Source organism: Homo sapiens, chromosome 10, assembly GCF_000001405.40.
Source record: "Homo sapiens chromosome 10, GRCh38.p14 Primary Assembly".
Classification (NCBI taxonomy): Eukaryota; Metazoa; Chordata; class Mammalia; order Primates; family Hominidae; genus Homo; species Homo sapiens.
The window spans coordinates 128,212,771-128,226,082 of record NC_000010.11 but is presented as its reverse complement, the minus strand read 5'-3'; positions in this window follow the sequence as shown (position 1 = coordinate 128,226,082).

The window sequence follows — 13,312 nt, the reverse complement described above, 5'->3', positions numbered from 1 at the left end:
TGAGGCCAGCATCATCCTGATACCAAAGCCTGGCAGAGACACACACACACAAAAAGAGAATTTTAGACCAATATCCCTGATGAACATTGATGCAAAAACCCTCAATAAAATACTGGCAAACCGAATCCAGCAGCACAGCAAAAAGTTTATCCACCACGATCAAGTTGGCTTCACCCCTGGGAAGCAAGACTGGTTCAACATACACAAATCGATAAACGTAATCCATCACATAAACAGATCCAACGACAAAAAACACATGACTAACTCAATAGATGCAGAAAAGGCCTTTGACAAAATTCAGCAGCCCTTCATGCTAAAAACTCTCAATAAACTAGGTTTTGATAGAATGTATCTCAAAATAATAAGAGCTATTTATGACAAACCCACAGCCAATATCATACTGAATGGGCAAAAACTGGAAGCATTCACTTTGAAAATCGGCACAAGGATGCCCTCTCTCACCACTCCTATTCAATACAGTGTTGGAAGTTCTGGCCAGGGCCATCAGGCAAGAGAAAGAAATAAAGGGTATTCAATTAGGAAAACAGGAAGTCAAATTGTCCCTCTTTGCAGATGACATGACTGTATATTTAGAAAATCCCATCATCTCAGCCCAAAACCTCCTTAAGCTGATAAGCAACTTCAGCAAAGTCTCAGGTTACAAAATCAATGCACAAAAATCACAAGCATTCCTATACACCAAGAACAGACCAACAGAGAGCCAAATCATGAGTGAACACCCATTCACAATTGCTTCAAAGAGAATAAAATACCTAGGAATCAAACTTACAAGGAATTTGAAGGACCTCTTCAAGGAGAACTACAAACCACTGTTCAACGAAATAAAAGAGGACACAAACAAATGGAAGAACATCCCATGCTCATGGATAGGAAGAATCAATATCATGAAAATGGCCATACTGCCCAAGGTAACTTATAGATTCAATGCCATCCCCATCAAGCTACCAATGACTTTCTTCACAGAATTGGAAAAAACTACTTTAAAGTTCACATGGAACCAAAAAAGAGCCCACATTGCCAAGACAATCCTAAGCAAAAAGAACAAAGCTGGAGGCATCACACTACCTGACTTCAAACTATACTACAAGGCTACAGTAACCAAAACAGCATGGTACTGGTACCAAAACAGATATATAGACCAATGGAACAGAACAGAGGCCTCAGAAATAACACCACACATCTACAACCATCTGATCTTTGACAAACCTGACAAAAACAAGAAATGGGAAAGGATTCCCTATTTAATAAATGATGCTAGGAAAACTGGCTAGCCATATGTAGAAAGCTGAAACTGGCTCCCTTCCTTACACCTTATACAAAAATTAATTCAAGATGGATTAAAGACTTAAATGTTAGACCTAAAACCATAAAAACCCTAGAAGAAAACCTAGGCAATACCATTCAGGACATAGGCATGGGCAAGGACTTCATAACTAAAACACCAAAAGCAATGGCAACAAAAGCCAAAATAGACAAGTGGGATCTAATTAAACTGAAGAGCTTCAGCACGGCAAAACAAACTACCATAAGAGTGAACAGGCACCCTACAGAATTGGAGAAAATTTTCACAATCTACCCATCTGACAAAGGGCTAATATCCAGAATCTACAAAGAACTTAAACAAATTTACAATAAAAAAACAACCTCATCAAAAAGTGGGCAAAGGATATGAACAAACACTTCTCAAAAGAAGACATTTATGCAGCCAACAGACACATGAAAAAATGCTCATCATCACTGGCCATCAGAGAAATGCAAATCAAAACCACAATGAGATATCATCTCACGCCAGTTAGAATGGCGATCATTAAAAAGGCAGGAAACAGTTGCTGGAGAGGATGTAGAGAAATAGGAACACTTTTACATTGTTGGTGGGAGTGTAAATTAGTTCAACCATTGTGGAAGACAGTGTGGTGATTCCTCAAGGATCTAGAACTAGAATTACCATTTGACCCAGTGATCCCATTACTGGGTATATACCCAAAGGATTATAAATCATGCTACTATAAAGACACTTGCACACGTATGTTTATTGTGGCACTATTCACAATAGCAAAGACTTGGAACCAACCCAAATGCACATCAATGCTAGACTGGATTAAGAAAGTGTGGCACCTATACACCATGGAATACTATGCAGCCATAAGAAAGGATGAGTTCATGTCCTTTGCAGGGACATGGATGAAGCTGGAAACCATCATTCTCAGCAAACTGTCACAAGGACAGAAAACCAAACATGGCATGTTCTCACTCATAGGCAGAAACTGAACAATGAGAACACTTGGACACAGGGTGGGGAACATCACACAGTGGGGCCTGTCGCGGGGTGGGGGCCTGGGAGAGGGATAGCGTTAGGAAAAATACCTAACATAAATGATGAGTCGATGGATGCAGCAAACCAACATGGAACATGTATACCTATGTAACAAACCTGCACGTTGTGCACATATACCCTAGAACTTAAAAGTATAATAAAATAAAAGAAAATAAAATAAAAATAAACATAAAAGTTTTTTAAAAAGTGGCATTGAGCAGACAGAAGTCTCATCAGGCCCTTTTCCCTTTGAACATCTAGCACTTTGCTGATAAACTGATTCCTAATGTACTTACCTGTCCAATATCCCTGGGAACCCACAAGCTCCTATTCTCTGAGGCACTGCAAGGTGGCTCCCAACTCTCCTCTTCATACCAGTACCTTCTACCCTGGCAGACCATGTCTCTCTCATTCCCACACTTCTCCTCCTGTACACAGCATAGCCCACCCAGCCCCGCAGACTGCCCCCTGAGCCATGTCATTCTCGAGATGCACCTGGCCAGCCCAGTGCATACTTGCTCAAGCTTTTAGACGCCATATACAAGAATTAGTTCAGAATGGATGCCAACCTACACAGTGGAGTTACTTATTCCGACCCCCTTCTCTCCATGGAAGCTAGACACGAGGCCCTCCTACTGAGGGTGAAGTGGTGTCTCATTGTGGTTTTAGTTTGCATTTCCCAAATGACCAGTGTGCAACCTCTCTATGCTAACTGGATGGGTGTGCATGTATGGGGATGTGTGTGTGCACGTGCGCCTGTGTGTTTGCAATTATAGTTAGAGTTGCTTATTATAGACAAGGAGCTTGAGATTCAGAAAATGGATGAAATGAGCCCAAATGGAACTACTTGACATATTTAATCCTTAAGGCATCCTCTTGGTGGTTTTTCACTTCTACCAAGTAGCTGTGTTCTTATTACTAAACTGGGAACTGGCTCTCCTTTCTGTGTTCCTTGGATATAGGATTCTTGGCTTAGTAAACATCTGAGAACATGGTTGACATCTATTGCCTGTGAACTTATGAAATGTTCTTTTTATGCTCTTCTCCCTGAAGGAATCCTCCATCCCTCCCACACGCCCACTCCCACCGGGGCCCTCCCCGCCTGCCTCTGGTTGGCTGGGTGCTCCTGCTCACAGACTCAGCGCAGTGGAAAAAGGAGAACGCCTTCCCGGATGGTTCCTCCATCTTTCCCTGCATCACTGCTGTCACTGAGGCACTTCATTGCTGTCTTTAATAGCTCACAAGTGGCTCTTTCTGGAACCGATGGTGGAGCAGCCCATGGTTCAGCCGGTGGGGATGCTGAGGCAGCAGTGTTGGCATGAACAGCTGGAAAGCGGGAGGGACGCTTTGCTTCTGAGACACACTAAGTGCCCACTGGCCTGGGATCCGAGATCTGGGCTTGAGCTGCCTTTGATCTGGGCTGTCAGCTGCCAAGTCTCAATTAGACGGCCTATAATACAGTTGGTTCTGGCATAAGTGCTGAGGGGGGAAAAAAAAAAAGAAAAAAAAGATTCTCCCAAATAGAAGTGAGCTCCTGACCGTAATGTTTGCAGAGGTCAGGAGTAGCCCACTGCCCTTCACTTATGGTTCTTAGCACAAAAGCCCATTGCAATGTCATACCCTTGAAAGATGCCTCCAAAAATGTGTTTAGGAGCTGGATTCCACATGCTCAGACACTGTCTAACAAATGCAAATTGCCCAAACAAAAGGGACCTGTGGGGCTTTGCAAGGGCATGGCACAACACACGTAGTCATCGTTCCAGGGGAGGAAGGGGCGGCTTGGCCGCCCTGAAGGCAGCCAGGGCTCTTGCCGAAGTGCTCGCTCATGCCAGCGCCTGCTCTCAGCACTGTTCATTCAGAGTTTGTGGGATTACATTTATTAGGAATGTGATTCATTTTCAATTCCACGGTCAGAGGGAGGTTCAGGGCAGAGCACACCGCTTTCTTCCCTGAAGCTCTGGCAGTTGATGTCCGCGCCAGCTTCACCTCCGGGTACCATTTTCAAGCTTTCATTCAAGGGGCTCATCGGGAAGAGGAAGTGCTCTGATACGCTGCAGAGGAGAGGAAACTGCACAAAGCTCCCATGCTTTTGGTGTTTTTTTTTTAAAGGGTTTTAGTCTAACTGCATCTTCTCTGTTTCAGTGGCTGTGACACCTTTTTGACACGTGTCTCTGAGAAATTGCAAGGACATGGAGAAGATAGGAGAGCAGGAGCCAGAGGGAGGTCCAGACACCAAGGTGGGATTCTGAGGTCCACTGCCCACAACAAGGTCAGCCTTGGGGGACCTTTAACAGTGATGTCTCCGGGGAGCCCCTGAGGAGGTGTGCGGCTAGGAAGTGCACCATAAAAAAACAGCGGCTCTGTTTTCCTGTGTGGCAATGATCCGTGGTGTGTCACGGACACATCCTAGCCACACGGCGCAACAGGAAAACTGACGAGTCTGTTTGCAAAGGAAGTCACTCTGGAGGGAAGTATCTGCCCAGTGACTTAAGCTTTGCTGTGAAAATAAGTGCAGGATTCAGGGTCAGAAGATCAGACTCAAGTCGTATGTCAGCCTCTGTATCTGAGATGCTCACTAAGCTTTAATGCTGTTGGATAATGGAGATGAGGTTGCGTTTCCCTACAGCAACGTGAGGGAACTGGGTGAGAAAACACACAGGGAATGGCTTTCTAGACCATAAAGCACTCTACACGTCTCAGAGCGAATCGATTAACTCTAAGGTACTGTGATCAATACCATTAAAGTAACAGGCAGGAACAAGCAAAAAATACCAGGCAGAATTCCATAAGATCTCAGATCCCTATCTAATTAGCAACACCTTTGCTTTTTTCTTTTTTTTTTTTTAACAATTTGCCTGTTGTAGGCACAGGCCAGTGTTCTCATGCACCACCAGTGAAATTATAAATTGCTACAATCTTTCTGAAAATAAAATAATGACAGATGTTTGGAGCAGGACACTGTACAACTGCTAACATTATATTCAGAAATAAACTTGATTGACAAAGACAAACTCTCCCATTGTAATGTGAAATTAATCACACTTATATACTACTTATACATGTAAATATTTATATCCAAGTCAGCAAACTACAGCCTGTGGGCCAAGCCCACCCTCCTGCGTGTGTGTAGAGTTTCATTGGCACCAGCCACACACATTCACTCAGGTGGTGCCCATGGCTGCTTTCCCGCTGTAACAGCAGAGTTCAGTAGATGCCACAGAGACCTGCAAAGCCTGAAGTATTCACTCTCTGACCCACAAAAAAAAAAAGAAAAAAAAAAAACAGTTTTCCAACCCTTGATCTGTGTCAGAAAAAAAAAAAAAGACTGAAAAGTACTCTCAATTGTCAACAATGGTTTGAGTATGTTGAACCCTTATAACACACATTCATTTTAACAGTTGTGTAGAGGTGGGGCAGTGTGTCCAGTATAATAATACTCAGGAAACTCTATACAGCTTTTGTCCCTGAATAACAGAGACAACTTCTGAGAAATGCATTGTTAGGCGATGTCGTCGCTGTGCAAACATTACAGAGTATACTTACGCAAACCCAGATGGTATAACCTACTACACACCTAGGCCATATAGTATGGCTTATTGCTCCTAGTCTACAATCCCATGCAGCATGGTACTGGACTGAATGCTGTAGGCAGCTGGAACACGATGGTAAGTTTCTGTGTATCTAACCATAGCTAAACATAGAAAAGGTACAGCAAAAATATGGTATAGAAGATTTTTGTTAATGGGGTACCTCTATCGTGCACTTATTACAAACAGAACTTGTAGGCCTGAGGTTGGGCATGGTGGCTCACACCTGTAATCCCAGCATTTTGGGAGGCCAAGGCAGGCGGATCACTTGAGGTCAGGAGTTCGAGACCAGCCTGGTCAACATGGTGAAACTCCATCTCTACTAAAAATACAAAAACTTAGCCAGGCATTGTGGCAAGTGCCTGTAATCCCAGGTACTCAGGAGGCTGAGGCAGGAGAATCACTTGAACCCAGGAGGCAGAGGCTGCAGGAGCTGAGATCTCACCACTGCACTCCAGCCTGGGCGACAGAGTGAGACTCTGTCTCAGAAAAAAAAAATAAAACAATAAAAAATAACTTGGAGGCCTGAAAGTTCCTCTGGGTGAGTGAGTGAGTGAGTGGGTGAGTGAGTGTGTGAGTGGGTGAGTGGGTGAGTGAGTGACTGGGTGGGTGAGTGGGTGAGTGGGTGAGTGAGTGGGTGGGTGAGTGGGTCAGTGAGTGAGTGGGTGAGTGAGTGAGTGAGTGGGTGAGTGAGTGAGTGAGTGGGTGTGTGAGTGAGTGAGTGAGTGGGTGGGTGAGTGGGTGAGTGGGTGAGTGAGTGAGTGGGTGAGTGGGTGGGTGAGTGAATGAGTGAGTGGGTGAGTGGGTGAGTGGGTTGGTGGGTGGGTGGGTGCGTGGGTGAGTGAGTGAGTGGGTGAGTGGTGCATGCATGTGAAGACTTAGGATATGTCTGTACCTTACTGTATACTTTATAAACACTGTATACTTGGGCCACACTACATTTATAAAAACGAATTTTCTTTTTTCAACAATAAACTAACTTTAGCTTGTTGTAACTTTTTCACTTTATAAACTTTTTCATGTTTTCTTGTAATAACAGTTAGCTTAAAACACATATTGTATAGCTATACAAAAATACTTTCTTTATATCCTTATTATATAAGCATTTTTTTGTTTTCTAATTTTTTTTTTTTTTTTTTTTTTGCTTGTTATGCTCTTTTGCTAAAAACTAAGACACGGACACACACATTAGCCTAGGCCTACTCAGGGTCAGGATCATCAATATCCCTGTCTTCCACCTCCACATTTGGTCCCATTGGAAGGTCTTGAGGGAAAATAACAGGCATGGAGCTGTCACCCCATCACAGAAGACTTTGATAACAATGACTTCTTCTGGAACACCTCCTGAAGGACCTGCCTGAGGCTGTTTCACAGTTAACTTTTTTTTTTTTAATAAGTAGAAGGTGTACACTCTAAAATAATAATAAAAGCATAATATAGTAAATACATAAGCCAGTCACATGGTCGTTTATCATCATTAGCAAGTATTATGTACTGGACATAATTGGGTGCATTAGACTTTCAAATGACCAGCAACACAAGAGGTTTGTTTACACCAGCATCACCGCAAACACGAGTCAGGTGTTGCACAGGCGTCATGAGGGCCACACTGGTACCAGGCAATAGGACTTTTCAGCTCAGCTCCAGTATCATCTTATGGGAGCACGGTGGTGCAAGCATTGGGTTGTTGACTGAAACATTGTCATGCAGCTCATGGCTGCATTGGAAGGCCAGGGTCAGGAGAGGGAGACACATAAGGTCAACGGCTTGTAGAGATCCTGAATGTGACCTGGGGAAATGCCTTTGTTGGGGGTGGGTTGTGGGAAAGGTCCATGAGTGTGGTTGCTCTACAAGAGTCAGGATGAGGCAGTGGGGAGGAAATGGTAGCTGCAAGTGTGGGCTACTCAATACAAAAAGTTTGTGGGGAAAAAAAAATCTAAGCACAAGCAATAGATGTGTCAAACCGACGTTTGTCTCAGGAGGGAGGAGACCAGGCAGTGCCTGCAGGCGTAACCGTGGAAAAGTGGGGTGCAGGGCTCTGAGGTGGGGTTCTGCCACTGCAATCAGTCAAGAGCAGCAGGCCTGACTCTAGGGACACCTCCTCTGGAAAATTAGAAATCCATTTTCCAAGTAATTCTACTTGTGTTCTCTCACTTTTCAGATTTATTTCTGGCAATATCTTCTGTTTCTTTCCTTCCCTTAAAAACATGACTTTTTAAAATAAATCCTCTATTTCTTGGTCAACTGGCCAAATATCACATACTTTGCTTGTCAAAATTCAGTCCTTCTAAGATGTTAAGGACAAAACACCCCCAAACAACTGGTCTGTTCAGAAAGGGAAGCTATTATATAAGAGCAGGTTGTGAATTTTTTTCAGGATGTGAAAATATACACTTTAATTTCACAAGTTACTAATTAGTATAGTAGGACAAAGTCATAATCCAAAACAATAATCTTTATTACCAAAATAGAGATTAAACACAATTAAAATGAACAATATTACCAGCCATAATTGCTAATCAATTAGCCGAGAAGCTATATTACTGTAATCTTCCTAGTCTCCACTTTGCCCTTCCTATATCTTCTCAGTGTTTATAAGATGGAGATGAGTTAAAAGGACCCATCTGCAAAGCCCTTTTTTAATTATAGGCTTGGCATCCAGCCGCCTCATCCTCTGCTGTGAGCATTTCCACCCACCTGGTGCGTGGGAACCCGCCCCCTAATTTTGAAGGTCAAAGCCAGGTCCAGCAGGCATTTTCCAGCTGCATGGGGTCATCACAGCCATCAGCAAGCCCAACAGGCAGCATCTACTTCCCCAACTGTCCTCCCGTCTTCCTACTCCAAACACCCACATTCTGAATGTCCAGCCCACATAGCACACGCACAGCCTCACTTTCATAAAGGCCAGACCACAGGATGTGGTAGAGCATAGGAATGATTAGTCTTTCATCGCTCACGACAAACTACAGGGAAGGTTGACCCCCATGCCCAATGAACTAAGAATCCAAAATGACATGTTGAATTTGTGAACATAATCTTTCTCTGAATGTTAAAACGACATCAGCCACCCCCAGCAAGAAGGTTGTGAACATCAAATTTCATGGCTCACCTTATTTTTTTTAAGTGTGGCCGAAGCTAACTTCTGCAGTCTGAGCCCTGTCCCCGCGCACGGGTTGGATGGAGCTCTGAGGAGTCAGATGCAGACTCGGTGTCACTCACCTACGGCAGGCCTGATTGGCCATGGAGTCTGGGCGGGACAAAGGCCTCCTTGGGAAGGAAAAGCCCCCGCTGCAGAAAGAGTCACTGTAGAGGGCAGGGGCATGGGTGCAGATGGCTTCAGACAGCCCCTGCTCATTAAGAACTCTTGTAAATCTCTGAAAATCAGGCTGCATGGTGGGGAAATACCAGGCATGGAAGCACCCTGGTCCCCAGACACCGCATCCACCCCATTCCCTTCCAGCTCCAGTGGAAAACGCACTCACCAAGGGCTCTTTTGCCTCCTCCCTTCTGTCAGCCACTTTGGATACAACAGAGTGGATTCTCTACACCAGGCAGTGGAGAGCGGCCCTTCCCAGCTCCTAATGCCTGCAGACGGGGTCAGGCTTGAGGGCCAGCCCGGAGGAAGATGCCACAGATGCCACTGCCCGTGTCCAGCTGGGAGTCACCTCTCTTCCTGCCTCTGCTGGCTTATGCCACACTGTGCACAGCTGTGGACAAGGTTTGCAGACGAGGGAGCTGCCCCACAGGTTCAGTTGTGTGCTCTGAACCACCCCCCAGCCCCAAAAAGCATCAGGAGGGCAAACCAGTTGCCAAAGAAGGAAGCTCCCAGAAACCTCTAATTGCCCCAGCCAAATTTTAGGGCCAACCAGATGCACTTGCTATGAGAAACCCCAGGAGGTATAAAGGAGAAACTGAGGCTCAGGAAAGCAAAGGGGTTTACAGGAGGCCACACAGTCCATCTGTGGAAAGACAAGGTCCTCACTTCTCCCTTCTGGGCTGGCCACTCTCTGAGTCTCCGAGCCATTCTCTGCATTCGTAGCGGGGCCCTCTGCCCTCTGCCCTCCACCTGCCCTGGCCACCCCCCCCCTCCACTGTGTGTGCCAAGAACCCAGGACCCTGCTGTCCCTGGTCTGCCATGACAGGTCTCTCTGCAGGCCCACTGCCTCCTGTTCTGCATGTTCGGGCCCCACTGTCAGCCAACCCTTGCCTGGGAATCCTACCCCGATCCCACCTAACACAGCAGCTCAGAACCCCCAGTCAGTGCGTTCAGGGAATCCCTCCACCCACGGCCAGGAAAGGGCCTTGGTTTGTGTCCCTGGAATAAGACAAAGAGCTGAACAGGCTGAACAAAACTCCCGTGGATCAAATCTTAACTCTCTGTAATTCTCTTTGGTTAGTAGGGAAAGGCCCACACGGTATCTTCATCTAAAATCAAACCAGAAGAGTCCCTCTCGGTGTCCCAGGGCGCAACTTCCTGTAAGGCTAGCGAATAGGATACACCCAACCCCCAGGACGCTGGTCAAGGATGCAGGGCAAAAGGTCTACAATTACTATCATGTTCTATTCACTCTGAGCACAGAAGGCTCTGGCAAAGCAGCTAATTAGAAGCACGGGGCTTTATCTGTAAGGGACATTCCATCGGTGTTTAAACGATGCTGGGCTGGAGTTGGAGACTGGACACTGGTTGCTTAGTATTTCCTGTAGGGAGAAGGAAGCAGAATAATTGTTTTGAGGAAAAATAATCACCTGGGGACTCTGCATGCCCAGGAAGTCTGACAAGACCAAGTAGGAGCGAACACACAAAAGCTGCCTGGACTGCTTCTTTCTCATGTGAGCTTCTGCCAGGTCTCTGGGGTCTCAGATCAGAGATCAAGGTCTCTTCTGGAGGACTTTGGAGAAGAAAGGAATGTGAGACTCTCGGAAGGAAGAGCACGACCTTGACCTCAGAAAGTCCTCACTCAACCCCCAGTGACCCCCGAGATGAAGGCCCTGCCTTTCCCAGGCACCTTTGGACTAGAGGCTCCGACAGCGTGCACTTACCCGAGCCCGGCAGAACCAGCCTCTTGCAGAACCAGGTGCAAGGTACAAGCAAGGAGAGAAGGAGACAGAAAGAGGATTTAAAACTTTGCTCATAGATATTCTTCCAGTGCTGTTGAATACGGCTCCTTTGTTTGTTTCGACAATGGATCTTATCTTTTGGTGAAGGCTGTGTTCAGGACTATTATTACCCTATATGAAAGGCTTGCCGGCTTTCTTCCCACTTGTTCAGCGGCACCGGAGTGGCAGAGCAAATTTAATCGAAGAACCAGCTCCTGGGAGAGTCTTCCGAGACTCTCCCCTTCCTCCTAATGCTGTTATCTCCCCTTCCTTGTGTTGGGGAAGCATAAAAATCACAAAAAAGTCATTCTGAGTATATTCTTCCCGATAATTATTGTCAGGCTCAGAGATAAGTGCCCTACGTGATGTAACGTGTGTTAGGCAGACCCCCGAATGCAAATCCTGCTTCGGTGGCCGCCAGACAATGCTCTCCCCCACATCGCTGGGGCCTCCGCATTTTGCCACAGACAAGAGAGCGCTTTGATTTTTTGTGTTTTGATAAGGCGCAATCTGGGGGCCTTTATCTCCACTGTTATATTTAAAGATGACATTCTGGCCCTGCCGTCTTACCTATTGTTTTGACCCTGATTATCTCCGAATGTTGTTGTTTAGTCAACCACCAGCCTCTATCTTCTCAGCATTCACCAGCTTAATGAAAGGCCTGCTCCCAATTTAAGGAAAATTATTTAAATGCAGAGTATCCTATACACCATGGTTTCCAAAAGAACTAGGTGGTTAATCAAAAGTTAATTGTATAATTCTCATGCAGATTAGGGCCTCTCGCAAATGAATCCCAGGTTGTGATTATTAAAAAAAAAAGGGAGAGTGTGGAGCAATGCACAGAGGCCCACAGTCTGGTAAACAATCAGCCCCGGTTTAATTTGTGGTAAACAAAGTGATGATACACTAGGGGTCTCCAAAGGAGAAAAAAAGGTGAAAATAAATTAAAGCACAACATACAGATATGATCTTTTTGTTTGAGGCCATCTTTCAAAAACATTAGCTAAATGAATAAAAGGCAACCCATTAATATTTACCGGAAGCCGGGAACTGTACAAAGACCCGCAAGTCCATAATTATACTGCAATTTTAGGTGGGGGCCTGGGCAGCAGGTGGCCACTCTCCTCCACCACAGTGGCTTCCACTGCTGCCCCCTCCGCGGAAAGTGAGATAATGTCCACGTCCCTCCTCGAGGTCTAGGGGCAGCACACCTGACTACCTTGCTTTGTCTTCCAAGTGAATGTCAAACCTGCCCTGCCTGGGGGATGGTTGGTGGTGAATAGTCTGCATCCGATCAGAAATTGGCAGCCAGTCCCCACTGCAGGCTCCTAGAAGAGGTGGGGGGTGTTTGCAGGGGGCGAAGATCTGCTGGAATGTGGAGAAAGAAGGGGCCTGAGAAGCTTCTTCCTTGGTCCTCATGGAGCATGGAGCCAAGGCTCTGCCTAGCAGGGGTGACCGCAGCCTCGCCCGCATTTCTAGCAGAATGAACACAGTTCCAACGGCCTCCACCCCTAGGGAAGACACGAGTCTGATCATCTCTCTGTTGAGTTACGTGGGGTGGGGACAAGTCTCTGGACAGGTAGAACCACCAGCCTCTGGGCAATGGGAAGCGTTCCGGGCCCTGCATCCTTCTCCTCAGGTGCTTTCATATAGCAGGGATTCCATGACAGAATCCTGGGACAGGTTGGAAGTATTTTTGCCAAGATAAGTTGTGGAAATCAGCTGTGGGGCTGCACATTCTGGCAGCTCTCCTGACATGCTGCATTAATGCGTAAGTTTCCTTGCTCCCAGATTCCAGGCTGAATTTTAAAAGAATGAAATAAGTCTTCCCACTCTCCAACCGAACAACTCTGTCCCTGCTTGGAGGAAACAACACTGAAGACCGTGAATAGAGAGAAGGGTCACTCTGGCTAGCTCATTCTGTGACCCTCCCAGGAAGGGCTCCTAGTCTGCCCCATCCACCCACCGCCCGGTGGGGCCAATCCCAGAGCCGTCACTCCCAAGGCAGCAGCCTTCCATTCCTCTTATTTCCACCACTGCACGGAAAGGAGGCCAAGATCTAACCAATTCCTGGGAAGCTGCGCTGGTGTCTCCACAGCCGACACACAGCCTCCTTCTCAGGCAGTGGCTGCGTTTTCTTTCCCCGTTTGTTGTGCCTGTCTCCTGGGGCACCATAACTAAGTCCCACAAACTGGGTGGCTTAAAACAGAAATTCATTGTCTCACAGCTTAGGAGATAGAAGTCCAAAACCAAGGCGTCAGCAGGGCCTTGCTTCCTCTGAGGCCTCTAGGAG